Genomic DNA, 21,219 nt, shown 5'->3' with positions numbered 1-21,219 from the left:
AGTGACACACAGATGGAAGATCCCAACATCATTTGAGGAGTGCGGTGATACGGGGTGCAGAGCGCCTAGGAGGGTCATAACTGAATCTTGGGTGAAGAGTCATTGGAATACTCTTCCAATGCATGAAGCTAGTGCAGACGCAACATGGTACAGGAGCAAGAACGTGACCTGATGCAAGCTTTGGGCACAAAGGGACCGAAATGGGAATGTGTCCTCCTTAGTCATAGGGAAAAGGTGAAAGATAACCTCCACCAAGCCAGGGAGTGTGAGTAGAGGCTGGATGGATGCGGACAGAGCAAGCTGGGGAGGGATTAGTAGTTGTGTCAGAACAGGAAGGACTGAAGACCCAGACATGTTGCCTGGGGCAGAGAAGACTTGAGGAAGACTATCTTAAAGTTTCTCTGAGGACAGGGAGAGGAACATTTATTCAGTATGGCTCTGGAGGGAAAGAAGAGCTAAGAGAAATGAGATAGAATTTTGCAGAAGGCAGATTTTTTAATGAATATTTGCAAAAACTTTCTCATAATCAAGGTTTTCTAAAAGTGGAACAGGGCTGCCACTGGGCAGACTGATGGACCCAAGCAGAGCCGGGTGACGCAGATGGTAGAGGAGAGACAGCCAAGCTTTGGTGTCAGACACCTAGATTTGAATCAAACTTTTGCACTGACTGTGTGGCCCCAGGCAGGTCACTTGACTCATCTGAATCTGCATTTCTTGCAAGACCCAATTACAAGTGTGAAAGTGCTTTTTAAACTATGAGACATCACACAAAATGTTAGTTATTATGCTCATTGTCATTTCACAGTAGTTACTGGTGAATGTGTCTTAGTCATCCAACTAATTTGTGTTGGATTCCGTCTAAGACAACGAGTTTGTCTTAGAGGTTTTAACTTAGTGCCATCATAGAATAGTAAATGTTTGTTGAATAAATTAATTAATGAATCAATGATTTTCCTCCCCAAATCAGCCCTGAAGCTTGAGCGTGGGTTTTATCCCAAGCCTGGTACATAATAGACTCTAATTTAAAATGTATTGAGTGGTTGGATGAGGGAGGGATTAACTATGTTAATTGCTGTTAACTAATGTGATAGTCATTGGATTTAGCACTTTTACTAATATCTCATTTAATCATAGACACAATCTTGTGAGATGGCCCCATCTCACAAGAGTGAGTGGCAGAGTGTCTGACTCAGGATTGCAATGGTGACACAAACATTGTGTGAGAGGCTGGCCCAGCCTGCCTGAAGGTCATTCTCACCTCCAAGATTCCACATTTCTAGGGCAGCCATGCCTTGGTAAGAAATGCTGAGCCCTATGACTAGGGAGGACACATTCCCATTTTGGTCCCTTTGTGCCCAAAGCTTGCATCAGGTCATGTTCTTGCTCTTATACCGTGTTGTGTCTGCACTAGCTTCCTGCAGTGGGAACTCAGAAAACAGCAGTTTACTGACCCCTGAGTAGCCATGCAATGTCACCCATTCAGGAATGGTCTAACCCACTCTGCAGCGCACATGCTTGGCAGCTAGAGTTAGGACCACAGCTTTTGAGGCCCCAGATCCTGAACTCCAGCCTGGTTCTGCCACTTCCTGGCTCTGTGACCTTGAGCAAGTTGCTCTTCAAACTTCAGTTTCTGCATCTGTAAACTGGGACCATACCTACCTCATCCAGTCATTACAAGGATCGATGTTAAATGCTTGTTTAGTCCTGTGCCGGGCGTATGGAAGGGCTTGGAGAGCGGCATGTAATCACCATCATCAAGTGACTGGCAGAGTTCCCAGAGGTGGTAGATATTACTTGATGAACAGTAGCTACCTACAAATCGTTTCTATAATTTGCTAATTACAGAAACATATGTAAGAAACATTTTTTCTGTCACTGTGATATTGAGGTTCATGGTTAGTTTTCTGGTAACTACTGAATACCCGAAGACTAGAGTTCAAGTCAGTGACAATTCCCTGTCTGCCAGAAGCATTTCCATTTCTCAGAAGAGCAGCCCCAGGATCATTGCTTTGGTTCTGGTCCTGCCTGCCATGTTCCGGTTGTGTTAACTTAGGAAATGCTTTCAGCTATCTACATCTCTATGTTCTCCTCTGTAAAATAGGGATGATTGGAGCCACTTCACAGGGTTATTAAGAGGATGCAATGAGCTAATGTAGCTAAGGGCCTGGAATAGGGCTTGACATGTAATAGTTATTCAGTAAGTGTCAATTCTAGTGCCAGGTCTGAGAGTGTCTAGCTCAGTGCCTAGTTGCAGAGTAGACAGTCAGTAAATGGTAGTTTTCTTTATTCCTTTTCAATTTACAATCTCCTTCCATCCTCCAAAAGCACGGCACCAGCATAACCAGGCTTTGTAGCTATCGAGCCCTGCTGTTAGAGGAACCATGCTGGGGAGAGAAATGTCACAGTTCTTTGTTCAGTGGGGACCACTTAAAGCTGAGCTCCGCGGGGGTACTGGAGATCCTGGGGGGTAAGTAACTTCTGTTAGTCTCTCTTGTTATTCTGTAATAGGAGGCTCCCATCCAGCATTCCAATATTGAAACTCCACATATCAAGGTATCTGAGGCAGAGGTGGGCTGCCAGGTGGCTTGTTTCAGAGAACATTTTCTATTATGCTCTCTGTGGCTGAGATAGGGAGCACTTCCAGGGACCTTGTTCTACACTTGTATTTTCCTTTTTCACTGACACTAAGTGACTTTAAGTCAAATGCACCCAACCCATAGCAGCATGCAGAATGCATCTGTACCCATGTGGCATCTTGATAAAAATTACAGGTGTATATTTTTCGCACACTTGAGGTTTATCTCTCTAAACTCAAAAAGCTCTTTCAATTTTAACTATTTGGAGTTGAAATCTTCCTAAAATGCATGATACAGCTGCTTCCTGAAATTGAAGGAACATAATTTGATATTTTTTCTTTTTTCTTGGTGCCTTGGAATTAAGAGGTGTGCTGGCAAACTGGTTTCAAAAAACAAAACAAAACACTTCCTGATGGGTAGTGTTTGTCTATTTCCATGGTGTAAATATTCCCACCACAGCTAATTTCAGGCTATCAGTGGTTTTTAACAACCAGCTCAAAAGACTCCTGAATATTTATGGACAGCTTGAGCTCAGCTCTGCAAGGAAGCAGCGTAGCACTGTGGAAAGGACGTGGTTGTTAGACCTGGACATACCTGGTTTTAGTCCCCATTTTTCTGCTTGAGAGCTGGGCTACCTGGAACAGGATCTTTAATCTGAGTTTCTATGTATAAATTGAGCTAAACATGACCACACCATGAGGGATAGTGAGGACCAGAGAAGGCGGCAGAGGTCAGGGGTCCCAAGTGCTGTCAGGGCCAAGCAGGTGATCTAATGAATGGGGGTAGGCTGAGTGGGGACCCTGGAAAATCCCAGAAACAGTGGTTCTCAAGCTCAGCTGCATATTGGAACCAATAGGGAACTTCTCTGCCTGGGCTCCACCTCAGACCAATTAAACCAGAATTTCTGGGGGTGGAGCCTGAACATGGTTTTAAAAAAATTAAAAGAACACTCTTTGAAACACCAGTGATTCAAATATGCAAATCACGTTTGAGGACCACTGGTCCTGACGGACACTTGTGGGTAGTGAGCATGCCTGTCACCTCCAAAATAAGTCAGCGGGCTTAGCACACAGCAGGGGTTACAGGATAGCCTTCCCAGCCTGTTGTACTGTGTGGTAACCTGGTAACTGTTTTTTGCACAAGAACTTTTTCGTCTTCCTAAATCTTGAAGGCTGGCCCCAGGTATGATTCCCGTGGTCAAAGCCCCTGCCTCTGTAAGCCCCACCTGCTTTGCCTAGTCGGCCATGAGCTGTGGCAAAACCAGAGGGCTGTGTGCGTGTTTTGTGCCTGTGTGGATCTTAAGTGGAAACTGATGAGGTCATGCCAGGGGAAGGGGGCCCAGGAGCAAAGGATTCTGGGATTCTACCCACCATTCTCTCCCTATCTCATTCCCCAGCTCCTGTCGGCTTGTTGAGACCCCCAAGCATGCCACGCTTTTTGATGCCTCTATGCCTTTGCACATCTCACCCCCAGGCCCAGGGCACTCTGTGTGTCCACTCTGGCACAGTAGTTCCTGTATTATATTGTCATTATTAGTTTACCTGTTTGTCTTAATTCAACAAATACTTATTTAGTGCCCGTTATGAACCCAGCAGAAGGAATGCTGGATTTATGGTTTAAACATCCTGTGAGCTCTTCAAGGCTCAGAACCACATCGGATGCATTCATGCCCTTGGCATTTGGCATGGGGCCTGGCACATAGAGTTTTTTTTATATTTTCGAAAGATGGAAGGAAGGATGGGTGGATGGGAGGCGATTCTATCTTACCTCCATGTTCAGGACTGTGACTTAGAGGGATAAGTTTTTGAAAGGGTGACTTTCCAGGGAAGTGGAGTGTGTTTGTAATTTCCAGAAATTTCACAGGGAGATTCAGTTCCCATGGCAGGATTTATCCATGGTTGTTAAATTGTGGATCACTTTCTTTAAGGGACATGGACATTGACTTTTAAAATAAATTTTCTCTCCAATACTGTCCTGAATGGAATCATTAAATGTAGAGTGAGTTTGGAAAATTGTAAGTAGTTCGGTATAGATGGAAGGGGTGGTGTAGGAAGCAGAGGGAATGAATTTGGAAGGATTGGCAGGGATTTGGACTATAAAGGACCTTGAATGCCAGGTTAAGGAGCTTTAGATCTGCCCTGTGGGCAGAGAGGAGGACCTCGTGGACACTTTAGAGGAGGAATGGCAGAGGCATGCTCAGTGGGTGGGTAAGAGCATCATTGTGGTCGGCTCCTTGAACAGATCAGATCAAATCACTCTTCCTTCCGAGCAATCTCCCAATCTACCATTCCTGCCCTTGCCATTTGCATAATTTACTTTTAATTATTGCTTTCATTATTTTCACAGCCCATCCTGGCAGGAATAATCTGATACTGGGTGGAATTAAACTGATGGGACCTCAGCAAACCTCCTTTGTTCATATTATTAACCCATGTATTTTTCAGAGAAGATTTTATTAAAAGAGATCATCTGGGATTTGCTCCTAAGCTGTATTTTCCGGAGACAGCACAGCCAGCAACTGTCCCTTGCACCCGACTCCTCTCTGTGGGTACAGTTTTAAAAGCAGGTGTCACTCAGCGCTTAGGGAGCACCAGTTTCTAATTAGTTGCTTGTTAAACCACAGGCCTCCAGATTGGGCTACTAAAATTACTAGTTTATTTAGTGAAGAAACACTAATGGTATTTTTTTAACCCTGAAAACAAGCATTTCCAGTTCTTTGCTGATGCCACATTTTTCTGAGATGAATGTTATTGTTACACATTACTGTTACTATTTATGGTGCCCAGAGCAGTGTGGGTTCTTTGCAAATGTTATTATCTTGTCGATTTCTCACGGGATTTTGCAAATACTGCTTTTCCAGAAGAGGAAGCCTGGTCTCAGAGAACTGAGTCACTGCCTAAAGTCACATAGCCAGTGTGGGCCAGGCTGGAATTCAACCTGGGGCTGGCCTATGTCCTTGTTCTTTTCAATAGCTTCTTCACTGTCACTTGCTTATTGATTTCCATTTGCCAATGGACCACGCTTTATGACATAGGAATTTGTATTTTTGTTTAAAAGCATCTGGAAAATAATAAAAATAATTTGAAAATATAGCTTAAGTATATTATGTATTAAACAAAACACCATTACTGTCAATTCACTTAAAGGAACTCAATATTTTCTTTTCCTTTTTTTTTGAGATGGAGTCTCACTCTGTCACCCAGGCTGGGTGCAGTGGCGCGATCTCGGCTCACTGCAACCTCCGCCCCCTGGATTCAAGTGATTCTCCTGCCTCAGCTTCCCAAGTAGCTGAGACTACAGGTGCCTGCCACCATGCCCAGCTAATTTTTGTGTTTTTAGTGGAGGCGGGGATTCGTCATGTTGGCCGGGCTGGTCTCAAACTTCTGATCTCAAATGATCTGCCCGCCTTGGCCTCCCAAAGTGCTGAGATTACAGGCGTGAGCCACCGCACCAGGCCCGGAACTCAATATTTTCTTGCTATACTAGTGAAGTCCCAAATTCTAAAATTACCCCAAGGGCAAAAGTTTAGTCCTTCAATGATTATTCATGGTGCAACCAGCCTTCCTATGCTATTTTTATCATTTTGTTAATTTGGTCATAGTCTGTTCTTCCTTCCAGGAAAATGCAATTGTATAAAATCACTTTTGATCAGGAATTTGTAAATGTCCATTAATCTGGGTTTTGACTCTCTCACTGTTAGCTATTCATAATACAAGGATTGAGTTTTCTTTGATCAGACATGAAGAAAGAAATGGGCAGTCTTATAGAATCATTCATTCACTTATTCAACAAACATTTTCTGAGCATCTCCTGTGTGGGGTGCACAGGGGGATAGACCTGTAAGGCTAACCTACATGGTCTATTCCCACGAAGCCTGGATTTCAAAGGAGGTAGGTAGGCATCACATGAGTATACAAAGAAAGAAAACAAGTGCAATGAGGCCAGTAAGTATGATGATGGGGACAGTGATGGGAACAGTGAGACATCATGTTTTTCTTGAGGTGCTCACTGGAGAGTGGAGAGACAGATGTTTAAACAAAATAGATACAAGCTCTGGCTTCTAGACACCTGCAGGTGTAACATTTACTATTTTGATCATTCTTGAGCAACCATGAAGATCTGAGAAATGTAGCAGTTTGTCATTTTGCTGAGGCCTAAATGATCTTCCATTGTAAAATAAAAGGTTTTGTCCCTCGGTAAAATAATTTGGGCATTAACAAGTGGGAGAGGTAAGTGTTTGGGGGAAGTGGTGAGTCTTTCCTGCATTCACGGACTCACACATCCACATAGATCTTATTTCAGTTATTGATGCAACAAACCTTTATCTTAGTGTCTGTTACGGTCCGTACGCCTAAGAAGAGCCAGGCTACTCATGCCTGTTTCTGAGAAGGGAGAAAAAGATACATAAGTAATTATAATACAGTTGGCCCTTGACTGTCACCAGGCTCATGTCCAGAAACCTTTGGGAATCCCTAAATTGACTGCTGTTATGCACATATTCATTGGTCAGCGGTGCTCACTCACTACTTAAGTAACTTGTTAATTCAAACCTGCCTCCGGATGGGGGTGAGTCAAGGTCACCCAAGGCGTTTTGCACTCATCATCTCATTTCACGATCGTGTGATTAGGATTGTTATCTTCATTCACATCTCACATGCCACGTGACCTTCAGGACTGCCAGCGCCAAGGGTCTACTGTACGCCATCCCAAGTCTGATACGCCGGCATGAAAGGGCGTGGGAACAGCGAACAGCTCCCTTGCTTGGGGGCACTTGGTTGCACCTTCTTGAATGAGGGGATGTTGGAGCTTGGTTGTTGCAGAATGAGAGAAGCTCATCAGACAGAGAAAGGGAAAATCATCAGGCAGTGAGAACCAAATTTGCAAAGGCAGGAAAGTGTGAAAGCACTCGCTATATTCAGGCAAAAAAAAAAAAAAAAAAAAAAATAAGACAGATTAGAAACGTGAGGAGGGAGGGAGTAGCAGGAGGTTAATTTTGGCAGGTCAGAACTAGACTGCGAGAGCCTGAATGTCAGGCTCAGAGATCAGACTAGATTCCATGGCAGTAGGAAAAATAGGGTGTTTTTAACTAGAGTGACATCCCTGTTTATTCATTCAACACTCTACAAACATGTATTGAGCAATCACTGTGTACCGGGCACTCTTCTAGGAGCTGGGGTTACAGGGTTACAGTAGAGGAAAGATGCTCATCGCGAGGTCCCCGCTTTCAAACAGCTTACATTTCAACAGAGGGAGACATAAAATACACAAGTGAGCAAATAAGTCAACAGTGAAGGGCCAAGACGATGTGTTAGTGCCTGGGAAACTATTTGAGAATGGATGATCAGAGAAGCGGCCTGACTGTGAAGGTGACATTGGAATTGAGACCTGAGTGTCAGAGAGGACATGCAAGGAGCTGAGGGAAAATCTGTCAGGCAGCAGGAACAGCTGGCACAGAGGCCCTAAGGCAGGGTGAGTCTGGTGCATTTGAAGTTCACCAGACACAAAGGTAACATGGCTGAGTTGGTGGGCAAGAGCAGGAATGGTAGATGATGCTGGGGGCTGAATGGCAGAGGCTGGAGTAAGAGTATAGATTTGATTCTAGGGTTAAGTTGACATGAGCTGCTTTTTGGCTACTCTGTGGACTGCATGGGAGAAGGGCAGGTTATTCTTGCCCTTCCTGGTTATTTTGAGGCCTGCAGGAGGCATGGTGATGGCTTGAACAATCTCTGCAGCAGTGGGGAAAGAGAAAGAGGGAAGGGTCAGAGTGTTTGGAGGCAGGGGTGGCAGGATTCCTGCTGGGTACAATGAGGGAGAAGAGGGAGAGAGGAATCAAGGATACTCTTGGGATTTTGGCCTGAGCGACTGGGCAGAGGCAGGGAACACAGAGGAGTACTGATCCGTGCCACACAAATATCCCTGGGGGACAGTCCCGAAGATGAGCAGGGTCAGGGAGAACTAGAAGGCTGCAGGGCCAGTTGGCAGATGAGAAGTGTGCCCTCTGAACAAAAGCACTGGGCAGGGGAGCTGGGAAAGAATTGATCAGAGAGACCATCATTCCTAGTTCTACTCAGCAGGCGGGAGAAATCAGTGGGATCTGATGAGCTAAGAAGTTGAGAAACTCAAGAATGATGCGGTTGACAATGAAACAATGAATTAACATGAGAAATGCAACAGGAAGAATAGATTCCAGGAGAAGAAAAGAAGTCCAGTTTTAGACAGGTTGACTTTAAGACACGTGTCAATGCTCCGCAAATGTCGGCTGTTGTCATCACTGTTGTCACCATCACCACTGATTTCATAGCCATCAGCCTGTCAATAGTAGTTGAGGTCATAGCGGAAGGTGAGTCCACCAGTGGAAAGCCCAAGAGAGGAGGGTAGAGGAGGAAAGCAGCTCCCACCTCCACTTCATTTAGAAGCCAGTGCAAAAGGCATTTTGCAGTACTCAGGGCTCACTTTGGTGATGAACGCGGATTGACTTGAAAGTGTCTTAAAATTGACTGCAATTTTAGAAGGTAAAGAGTAAGCCTTTGGTTATATCTAGCAATCCTGAGGTCTTCCTTACATGAAAGTTTTTACAGACACTCTGGGTAAGATGATGACAGGCACAACACAGTTAAAACGTTTTCATGGAGAAAAATGGATGTGAACGGTAGAATCTTAAACGTGTTAGTTTTCGACATTGTGAAATTAATTGGCTCCCAAATATAGCCGGCTTCTGCCTTAATTGGAGTTCTCAGGAGCCTCCAGCTTTCCTGCTACCTTTAGCCAATGTTTCTAGGTTTGATGGTGAATAAAGACCTCTTTGTTTAATTAGAGTTGAAGCATGCCTTAAGAAGTTAGTAATCTAATTAAAATTATATTTCCAGTTTATATGAAATAGAAAAAGAGGAGATCAGCAAATGTCCTATGGAGCCTGCTCTCTACCATGCAGTGAGCTAGAAACAGAGTTTCGGAGTAGAGTAAGAAATGGTGTTTTACCTCTCCTGTGGTGGATGATTGTGTGTGGGTGAGTGAAGGAGGAGGATAAATCAAGAGAGAGAAAGTCGGCTGGGCATGGTGGCTCATGCCTGTAATCCCAGCACTTTGGGAGGCTGAGGTGGGCAGATCATGAGGTCAGGAGTTCGAGACATAGTGAAACCCAACATAGTGAAACCCCGTCTCCACTAAAAATACAAAAATTAGCTGGTCAGGGTAGCGTGTGCCTATAGTTCCAACTACTCGGGAGGCTGAGGCAGGAGAATCGCTTGAACCTGGGAGGCAGAGGTTGTGGTGAGCCGAGATCATACCACTGCACTCCAGCCTGGGCAACAGAGCGAGATTCCATCTCAAAAAAAAAAAAGAGAGAAAGTTATAGATCACAGATGGTTAGAAATCCAAGGGAGGGAGAGAGAGAGTTTTAGAGATGGAGGGTGAGGGAAGAGCCTGTAGGCTTCCCATAATTTCACCTAATTTAGAAAAGAGGATTTATGACTATGAATCAAACAAGATTCAAAAAATATAACACAGCTATTACAAGCCCTTTGCTTGTAAGCTGAGCCTTGAGAGACTGGATAAATGTTTGACCTGTGCCATTGTTGAAATATCTGAGAATGAGCTGGGTTGTCATGTTCCAGTAACGAAGGAAGGCAAGGCAGTCCTCTCAGAACGCTGGAGGAGGGAAGACATTTGTCCTTTCTCGGCAGTCACCTTTTCAGGTAGTACAAGAGATTCACTCACCTCTCGTCCTCACCAGCCCTCCCCCAGCCTCTTTCCCTGCTCCCCTCTGCCTTCTGCTGCCTTCATCCTCTCCTTGCTGAGCGAATGCATACAAGCAGCTGAAGCCTGGACGGCTCTTCAGAGCCGTCACTGCATCGCGGAGGTGCCTTACCTGCTGTCTGCAGGCTGGGCTGGGTGCAGGAAATGGGGTACGATGAGCACCAGCGATTATCTCAGTGCTGGGGTCTGAAGTTTTGTTTTGTTCTTGCTTTTATAAAATTACAAAAAAATTATTATGAAACATTTTAAACTTTCAGAAAACAATATAATGAATATGTATGCACTCCCCACCAAGATTCTGCAGATATGAACAGTTTTGCCATATCTACTTTGGATCTCTCACTCTTGTGCTTTTTTAAAAAATAAATCATCTACTGCTATGACATCCTTCTCCCCCTACCCCCAGAGAATCACTATGTTCTTTTACTTTTACTACATAGGTATGTTTGGCAACAAAGTGACTATTTAATGTGTCCCTTTTTGTATAAATGATACGACATCATTTTATATAAATGATACAAGCCATATCTCCTTTGGCAACCAGCCTTTTTGCTTCACATTATCTTTCTGATATTTATCCAATAAGATGTTTGGATCTATGTTGGATCCACATTTACTTTAACTGCTGTATAATATTTCCTTTATAAACCCTAGTTATATTATAAATAAACTGGGATTATAATATTTAATATTTCCCTCAATAAACCCCAGTTTTATTATAAGCAAATACTAGGGTTTATTAAAGGAAATATTATACAGCAGTCCCTCTTCATTAGGTTACTGTTACTAAGGAAAAGCCAAGTTGTTCTTCATCCCTGCTATTACAAGCACAGCTGTGGTCAATGTCCTTATACGTGTCTCTCATTCACATGTGTGAGTTCCTCTGCGGTCAACACCTAGAGTGGAAATAGGCATCTTCTATTTTACTGGTTATTTTTCTCACATCGGACTTTATCTCTTCGGTTTGCTGCCTTATCCCTTGCACCTAGAACAGTGCCTTGTAAATACTCAATAAATAGCTGTTAAAAGAATGGATACTGAGAAATTACTCCCCAGAGCGATTGTACTAACCTACACTCCCACCAGTTTATATGAGCATTTCCATTGCCAACTTTCTTGCCAACACCTGGTTATGAAACTTATCAAATGTTTGCCAATCTGAGGCATATCAAATGGTGTCATATTGCTTTAATTTGCATTCTTGTGATCATTAATGAGGTTTATGGCCTTTTCATAGATTTATTGGCCATTTGGATTTCTTTCTCTATGAATTATCTGTTCATATTCTTTGCCATTTCTGTTTTCTTAGAGCAGAAATGCTCTAAGAAAATTTGTAGAAATTTCTTATTTGTAGAAATGCTCTATTTACCTTGGATAAAAACCCTTTGATGGTTTTATGAGTTATACATATGGTCTCTTAGGCTATAATTTGTCTTTTACCCTGTTGTAATTTGCCTTTTGATAAATAGAAGTTTTGAATTTTATATGGTCTTATTTTTTGTTTGCAAAGAATGATGGTTTTATTCCCTTTTTAGTCCTTATACCTTTTATTTCTTTTTTTATGTCTCATTTCCCTAATTGTGGGAATTAGGAGTGTGGACATGCTTGTCATATTCCTGATTTTTTTTTTTTTCTTTTTGAGACAGCGTCTCACTCTGTTCCCCAGGCTGGAGTGTGGTGGTGCAATCTTGGCTCACTGAAACCTCTGCATCCCGGGTTCAAGTGATTCTCCTGCCTCAGCCTCCCGAGTAGCGGGGACTACAGGTGCCCACCACCATGCCCGGCTAATGTTTTGTATTTTTAGTAGAGACCGGATTTCACCATGTTGGCCAGGATGGTCTTGATCTCTTGACCTCATGATCCACCCGCCTTGGTCTCCCAAAGTGCTGGGATTACAGGTGTGAGCCACCACGCCTGGCCATTCCTGATTTTAAAGAAAATCTTTCTTACGTTTTACTGTTGAGTGTGATGTCAGCTGTGGGTTTTGGTAGGCATCTTTTATCAGGTTATTTTATACCATCCTTGCAATCCTAGGATAAACCTTGGTAATTATATATTATTTTTCATGCTTTACTGGGTTTATTTCCAGATATTCTCTTTGGTTCTTTTCTTAGATTTATTTTTTTCTTTCTTAAATTTTTCTTCCCTGAGGGTTTGATGTTCTTTCTTTTAAATTTAAATTACTTTGAATATTCTTATTTCAGGATTTTTTTGGTTTGCCTGGTCTTTTTCTAGGGAGGGACATCTCTTAATACTTTTCACAGAGTCTCTTTATTTTGCTTCCATTGATTTCCATAGCCATCGAATCACCAAACATTTATTAAGCAGCTACTATATGCCAATAGAGAAGGGTGGGGGGGAATAGGGGAATCTCTAGACTCCAAGAACTCATGGTTTGGTGAATACGATTAGTGCTTGCTGTCTGCAAAAGCCTTGCACAGCAAAGCAATTGGGGGAGTTGCCAGGTGCCCTGGTTTTGGAGTCAGATGAATTTGCATGCAAATTCTGGCCCCATCAATTATTAACTATGTCACTGTAAGCAAGTTAGTAAGTTATTTCATTTTTGTATGCCCCAGTTAACCTCTTCTCTTAAAGCAGGACAGTAACAGGATCTACCTCATAGACTACATCTGATTGTATGTGATATAAAATGTTCAGCACAGTATCTGGCACAAAGTGAAAGTCAACCAAAAATAGCTGGCATTATTCACGTCCGTTTTTCCACTTAATCCTCACAATTGCTTTACGAGATAGATTATTGTTACCACTTGACAGATGTTGTCATATGAGCATGTGGGAAAATTTAGTAAAATGTTGTAAAAATGTTGGGTTTTATTAATATATGTAAAAAGGCTTTGATAAATGTAAAACATCATGCAATGGGAAAGAAATGTCATTTTCTGGGATGGTTTAAACCAAAATCCTTGTCTGCATTTTGTGGTGTCATTACAGAAATTTGAAATGATGTCAAAGACCTGGAGAAACAGCCTAGCATGTCTCATACGGAGGGAGCAGAGAAAGGATTGCAAATGCCATTTAACGACAGTGTTTAGGTGTTATTGTTATGTTTTAAAAGCCCACATAGTGATGTAGTCAAATGTTTCATAACTATTTGCATATAGCCCCAATTTTATTTTAAAATGTATGTTTTATGTGCATATAATATATGGGAAGGAAACACACTAAATGTTAATCATGATGATCTCTGACCTGTAAGATTATAATTTTAGCTTTTTTCGTTAAGCTTTTCTTTGTATTCCAAGTTTCTAGCACGAGCCTGCTCTGGCAAGGAAAGGACCTTCCAGTTATACCTGTATAAGGACAGGTTGACATCAAGTCCCAGAAGATTCAGTGCCAGTAGGAACCCTACTTACAGGCACACACTGGAGCTGGTGGGGGGCTTTAGAAACAGGATTTCTGGGTCCTTGAGGGCAGAAAAGGAGTGAAGTCTTGTCTCTTCTCTTTCTGCAATCCAGCTTGATATAAATGCTCTTAACTGGCTTGATACAGTGGCTCATGCCTATAATCCCAACACTTTGGGAGACCAAGGTGAGGAGGATCACTTGAACCTGGGACATCGAGGCTGCAGTGAGCAGTGATCGAGCCACTGCACTCTGGCCTGGGAAACAGAGTGAGACCCTGTCTCCAATAAAAAAAAAAAAGAAAGAAAGAAAGAAGAAAGAGGTCTTAATTATATGGACTCTTGTCAGCCTTTAATGATTGAATTTGTTTGATTATTTCAGCTTGTCCTAAGAACTGGCCGACATTCTCTTCTCACACTCCACCATTGTGAGTCTTCCTCTCTCCTTCCTCTCATCTACCATTCTCCAAGCAGGGAGATCTAACTGAGTTGGCCAAACCACCCTTCATGTAGAGTATTTCCTTTTGGCAGTCGTTAATAGCTCAGTTTCAGCCAGTCACTAAGAGACTGGGTTACGTAGGTTACTACCTAAGGCTGCTTTTCCCAGAAGCGGCCAGGAGAGGGTCCGGGTACCTGGAGACCTGTCGGGGCTGTGCTCTGTCCAGGCCTGGGCAGCTGGCGTTCACCGAGCGAGGCTCTGTGCTCTGTACATGACACGCATCATTTCCCTGAGCTCTTCTCCCAGTTTATCCAGGTACCTGAGCCAGAACCCCTGGAGGTTTCCATGAATTCTCAATGAGCCCTCTTGAGTTCAACTCCTAAAGATCTCTCAATTTTGTAATTCTCTCCATCTTTACCACTTTTGTCCAGTCACCGTCTCAAGTTTGGAGAGCTCTAAGAATCTCCTAACTTATTTTCTCCTCATCCACTCTTAACTTCCATCTGTTTCATTCTCCTTACAGCAGCCAAAGTGATCTTTTCAAAACTAAAATCTAATTGGATTAAGTTCCTGCTAAAAACACTTCAGTGGCTTTTCATTTCCCCACAGGAGAAAGATAAAATTTTTTAAAAATTTTAAATGCCTGACAAGGCCTTGTCTGATCTAGACTAGACCAGCAGTTCTATAAGTGGGGTCCTTGAACATTCAAGGTTCCCTGATATCTTGTCAGGATATCTATGGAGTCAAAAGTATTGTCATCATAATAATGATAAGGCATCCTTTGCCTTGTTCTTGTATTGACTTTTGCAGTGATGCTGTAAAAGCAGTGATGAGTAAAACTGCTGGCTGCTTATTACTACTTAAGACAGGAGACCGGGTGTGGTGGCTCACGCTTGTAATCCCAGCACTTTGGGAGGCCGAGGCGGGCGGATCAAGAGGTCAGGAGTTCAAGACCAGCCTGGGCAACATGGTGAAACCCTGTCTCTACTAAAAATACAAAAAAAAAATAGCCGGGCATGGTGGTGCATGCCTGTAATCCCAGCTACTCAGGAGGCCGAGGCAGAAGAATCACTTGAACCCAGGAGGTGGAGGTTGCAGTGAGCCGAGATTGCGCCATTGCACTGCAGCCTGGGTGACAGAGCTAGACTTAGTCTCAAAAAACAAGCAAACAAAAAAAGACAGGGGCACTGAGGTGGACTAGTAGTCATTATTCATCACTGCCACATACTTCAAAGTTTAAAACAAACAAACAAAATGCCAGATTCACTTAAGAAGGTCTTTGATGAAACAGTAAAAAACCTTTTTTTAAATTAAATCTCAGCCCTTGAACACGCTTCTTTTTAATATTCTGGATGATAAAATGGCAAGTAGGCTAAAGCACTTCTGCTGCCCACCGAAGCGCAGTAAGGCTGTAGGGACTGTTTGGGTTGCAAGCTGAGTGAGCCCCTTTTGTCTTGAAACAATCAGAATGTTTTTCATGGAAAGAACAATTGGCAGACAAACTATAAGTTGTTCAGGTTTGGACATTTGTAGACATGTTCCTGAAACTAAGTGAGCTTTTCACTTCGAGGAAAACAGCCAACAACATTTGCACCAATTATAAAATTTGAACGTTTAAGCAAAAACTGGAATCTCTGAAAACTCCTATCTGCCGCCATGAGCTTGACAGCTTCACGATATTTAAAGACTTTTCTGTTGAAATCAGTTGGTGATATTAATGAATGTGATTTTCTGATGTCATATAATGAAATGCACAACATTCGGAAGAGCTATATAAATCAGTATTTTCCAAGTGTTGCAGGTATGACGTTATATAGTTTGGCATGGGTAAAAGATCCAAAGCGCAAGATGGACGAATGGATTTATTTATTTATTTATTTATTTATTTATTTTTGAGATGGAGTTTTGCTCTTGTTGCCCAGGCTGGGGTTCAATGGTGCAATCTCGGCTCACCATAACCTCCACCTCCCGGGTTCAAGCAATTCTCCTGCCTCAGCCTCCCAAGTAGCTGGGATTACATGTAGGCATGTGACACCACGCACAGCTAATTTTGTATTTTTAGTAGAGACAGGGTTGCTCTATGTTGGTTAGGCTGGTCTCAAACTCCTGATCTCAGGTGATCCGCCAGTCTCGGCCTCCCAAAGTGCTGGGATTACAGGCGTGAGCCACAGCGCCCGGCTGGACCAATGGATTTAAATGTAACAGAGTATGAAAAGTTTATTGACATGGTTTCAGCTTCCATATTGCAACTAACTAACCTTTAAGAAAGCATTGCTTGACCAGATTTGATCATGCCTGATTTTCTTCATATACTTCACTCCCCAACATATCACAGCAGACCAAATGTAGAAACCAACATGAAAATCCAACTATGTCTTATTAAGCCAGACATTAAAGACATTTGCAAAAAATGTAATGTTCTTTTTTTTAACTTTTTTTGTTGTTTTGGAGAAAATAATTTCCCACAGAAATACATTATTTGCATTAACACATAATGGATTTATTATTGTTGTTTTTAAATGAGTGAATATTTTTCCTGCCTTCATTTCTGTTTTGGAAATCGATGGATAGTGAGAGTATAAAGGACTCTTAAGACCAAAACCTTTGAACACCACTGATCTCCACACTAGACAGAGGTCCGGATTTCTAACCCATCTCACATCACTCCTAATGTTCCCAAAACTCCCTCAAACTACCGTCTTTCCATTACTCCATCAGTTACTCCAGCCTGACTCTCTTCTGCCCCAAGGCCTTGGCACATGTAGTTTCTTGTGCTGAAAACCCGTTTGCTCCCCATTCTCCACTACTCTGTAATTCACCTCTCCTCGCTCTTACCGTCACAGCCCGGGAGAGCGTTCTCTTTCCCGGCATCTATGGTACCCACTCGCATTTTCTCCCTTCCGTAGGCTCCATATTAATATATTTCATACATGTTCTCTACCTTCAGATTTAAATTCTCATTATCTCCCTCCTTGATCATTTCCCCTTTGTACCTATTTTACAAGTTTCACCTCCTCTACTGTCCGCCGTGTTATATTAATCACCACTTGTCTGAAACAAGAGAGAGGAAAAACTAACCGACATTTTCGATGCTCAGGGAGCCAGTTGATCAATCTTTTCCGTGAGACATCATACATTTTTAAGTGGGTTCTCACATACCTCTTTACAGGCTCGGATGTAATTTAGTCTGTGGTTTTTTCCTGCTCAGGAAGAAAAGCATCTGCATTTTGTCATTAATGAGACAGATTTTCCTGTCTCTTGTAGTTGGAAATCGCTGAGATGTGTGCTTATTTTTCGCATCTGCCATACTTGCCATTTTAATGGTACATCATCTTTTCTCGGAGCTCCATCCTCTTGAAGTATAAACTCAGACCTTACTGATCCTCAGGATCACTGGGAATTAGCCTTATTATTTGATTTTCCTTTGAAAAAAAAGTGGGTTATCTAGATCTATCAGCCTGCCGTACTACTATGAAAGGTTTGACAAGATTTTCTTTTTGAACTGTTAAGAAAGCCTTTGTAATAGCATGGGCTCTCCATGCTGTCAGCTGAGGAGGTGGGGAATGGCGCTTCCACTGGCTGCTAATGATTGTGGATGAGTCTCTTTTCCTCCCTGGATCTAGTTTTCCCATTTATGAAGTGAATGGGCTGGATGTTTGTGAAAGCTCATCCTACTCGTAAGACTCTGTAATCCAAACACATCCTGAGAACCTGTTATGTACTCAGGTGGTGCCTGGTACCAAGGAAGGATGCAGGTGCAGGAGAAAACACAGCCTGTGTCTCCAACAAAGAATACAGTGTTCTTAGAAACGAAATATTTAAATCTACCAAAACCTTAGGTACAATACAGAATATTCATTTTTTATGTATAGTATACATGTATGTGTGTGTAAATGTCCAGCCTAGGTCAGGCTTCTTGCTGCATCCTGGGATGTGGCAGAGACAAAGGAGAAGAGTGTTAAAGGTCAACTCTCAAGAACTCATAGGCTCGTAATGGAGATAAATAGAATATGCAGCCCAAAGCTTGCTATGTAGGACATTGGATGCAGGTAAGGATAGAACAAGGTGCGCTGAGGCTATGGGGCAGAAGTGGGTCAGGTTGGAAATGGTGACAATATCTGATTGAAGAACCTGGGGAGGACTTCCTGAAAGAGATTCTTTATTATCAAGTCTGAATTATGAGGTCCAACGCTAAGCACTGCAAGAATTCAGAGAGAGGAGAGAAATCAGTGTGCTGACATCATTGAGAAAGGCATGAAGGAAGATGGGGCGAGAGGAGCCACAGTTGGCATCAATATTTCTCTGCTGAGAGTGCAGAGGGACCAGTGGCTTCCTCTGGAAAGCAGGCAGGCAACCCAGGGTGTCAGGAGGCTAGTCTGCTGGGACAGGGCCCTCAGAGAGCCCTCTATTGTTCCACAAGCCCTGTTCTCAGCATGCTCTGAGGGATTAAGGCATTTAAATAGTTCATGGGCATTTTAGTTCCATCTGAAATGGGGCTTGAATATTTCTTTCTTTTCTTTTCTTTTTTTTTTTTTTTTTTTTTAAATAGTAGAAACAGGGTTTTACCATGTTGATCAGGCTGGTCTCGAACTTCTGACCTGAAGTGATCCACCTGCCTTGGCTTCCCAAAGTGCTGGGATTACAGGTGTAAGCCACCACGCCTGGCCTTTTGAATATTTCTTATAGTTCAGAAAGGCAGGGGTGAGACGTTGTGGGAGAAAGAAACTGGAGAACATATTACTTCTGCTCCAACAAGAAGTCTAGTCACTGCGCAGCTAATTTTAACCTTGCAGCCACTTAGCTTCCTCCATCTTCTAACTGAGAGAGGTCTGCATGCCCACAAGGGGCTCTGAGGACGTAGGGTGGCCTGGTGCCATTAGCATGTGCTCTCTGCCCCAAGCACGTTAGATCATTACCCAGCGCTTCGGTGTTTGACAAATGGGACAGGTGCCACTCAGGCAATTTCCCAGTGAATGGCTGAGCCAGGTGGAGCAGGGAGATAGCTGGCCTGACTGAGCAGGGAGAGCTCATACTAATCATTAGGTCTTTGAACCTTGCCATGTTACCAGTTAATGGTAGAATAAAGTGAAACGAGTAATTAAATGGATTCCAAGCCACTGGCTGTGCTTCCTGCTTGAGCACATCCCATCTCCTCACTGTGTACAGCCAGCTGAGTACAAATTCAGTTACCAGGAAGGAGGGCAGTGTGAAATTGTGATACTTACAACCTTAATAACTACTGTTGACTAAAAACATTAATAAGTAGGCACCTATTAAGTGCCAAACTCAGCGCGAGGAAATTTGCATTAAAACACATATCCTCACAACTGCCCTGTGAGGCGTGGACAGTGTATCAGCTCCATCTTAGAGATGCAAAGGTCCACACATAGAGTGGTGCAGTGACCACCAGGACCACCTGATGGCGTGGCAGACCTGGGACAGCAGCCACCTAGGGAGTCAGGAGCTCTGGTCCTTCTCATCCTTGGCCCAGGACGCTGCCACTGCCGGCTGGCTGGCTGGCCCCGGGTGAGCCATTTCTTCTGTCTGCAGCAGGTAATCTGGGAGGACGAGCATTCTCAGGTGCTGATTGCTGTGGGATTGAGTTTAATTCTTCACCAGCCATTAGACTTGGTCATGTGATGGCATGTCTTAAGATGTGGGTCACGGTTTCACTATTTGTGTAACTGAGAAAATGAACCAATTTGTATCTATACTTTCCCCAGGCAAATGATTTGGGGCTACTCCCTTAAGGCTTCAAACTATTTGAGTAAAAGAGCTCAAATAGAGGCCAAGTGCTTTGAAGAATTGAAGGCCTTTTTCTCTCTCCTTGAGCCCAGTTACTGATACTGCATGTTTTACCCCATAATTTACAAATCACAGCAACACGGTATGACAGGGAGTCTTTTTCCGATGCAGCCAGGAACCTGGCCCAGTTCTCTTTTGCCACTTACCTATTGTCTGGTCAGACTTGGTTTTCCTGAACATCAGTTTCCTCAGATGGTGGAAGTTGATTGGGTCATCTTTAAGGAACTCTTCTAGCTCTCAAATTTCGGGAGAGTCTTTGGGGAATGCAATATTTCCTTTAAGTGAATTCTTTTCAAATGACAGGCATTTGTTCCATTAATCACCAAAATTTAATTGTAGCCACTTAAAATTTGAACTCTTAAAATGCTTACACATATTTGTCTTCTTAGCAGCAGTTAATATTAATTATTGGTGAGTTTGGTTCTTCCTTCCGAACATCAAAGCATAGGACCTTGTTGCTAAGAGGAACTGTCACTCACCTCTTATTCTACAAACACCCAAAGGAGCAAAGTGGCCTGTCTGGGGTCACACAGCTGGAGAGGGGCAGAGGGCCGGTCCTCGGAACCTGCCTTATGCCTCCCTGTCAAGTGTGCTTTCTTCTTGTTTATTGTGTTATAACAACTTTTTGTCCTTAAGGCCTTGCCTTGTGTCATCTCTGCACTCAGCACAAGACCCCTGCACAGAGTGAGCACAAAAAACTATAAGGAACAAATGAATGACTTGTGTCCCCTGCAAATGGCCTCAGCATGCTCCGTTTGTGTCTAATTTTAATGTCATGGCCACCCTTCCCCATCCCGTTTTTCATACATATTCCTTGACTGAGAGAGAAGCTGCAAATGCCTCTGGCTCTCCTAAAATAAAATATGTAACTTTTTTTTTTTTTGAGACGGGGTCTCGCTCTGTTGCCCAGGCTGGAGTGCTATGGTGTGATCTCGGCTCACTGCAACCTCTGCCTCCTGGGTTCAAGTGATTTTCCTGCCTCAGCCTCCTGAGTAGCTGGGATTACAGGTGTGCGCCACCACACCCAGCTAATTTTTGTATTTTTAGTAGAGACAGGGTTTCACCATGTTGGTCAGGCTGGTCTTGAACTCCTGACCTTGTGATCTGCCTGTCTCAGCCTCCCAAAGTGCTGGGATTACAGGCATAAGCCACCGCGCCCGGCCAAAATGTGTAACTTTTATGGAAAGTTTGTGTGGTTTGGGGGCCTTTGGGGCTCTCTTTACATTTGAAGACCATGTTTTGATGGTTGATGTTGTCTGAAACTACATGATCTACGTAAAATC

General features: G+C 43.1%; 1 protein-coding gene across 11 annotated transcripts in view; it reads left to right on the top strand.

Moving 5' to 3' along the window:
* TTLL11 (tubulin tyrosine ligase like 11) overlaps positions 1–21,219 on the top strand; it is a 277,635-nt gene that overhangs the window by 143,050 nt on the left and 113,366 nt on the right. The gene's annotated exons all lie outside the window — the stretch shown is intronic.

Source organism: Homo sapiens, chromosome 9 (assembly GCF_000001405.40).
Source record: "Homo sapiens chromosome 9, GRCh38.p14 Primary Assembly".
Taxonomy (NCBI): domain Eukaryota; kingdom Metazoa; phylum Chordata; class Mammalia; order Primates; family Hominidae; genus Homo; species Homo sapiens.
The sequence above is the reverse complement of the archived record's forward strand: the minus strand, read 5'-3'. Positions and strand labels throughout refer to the sequence as shown.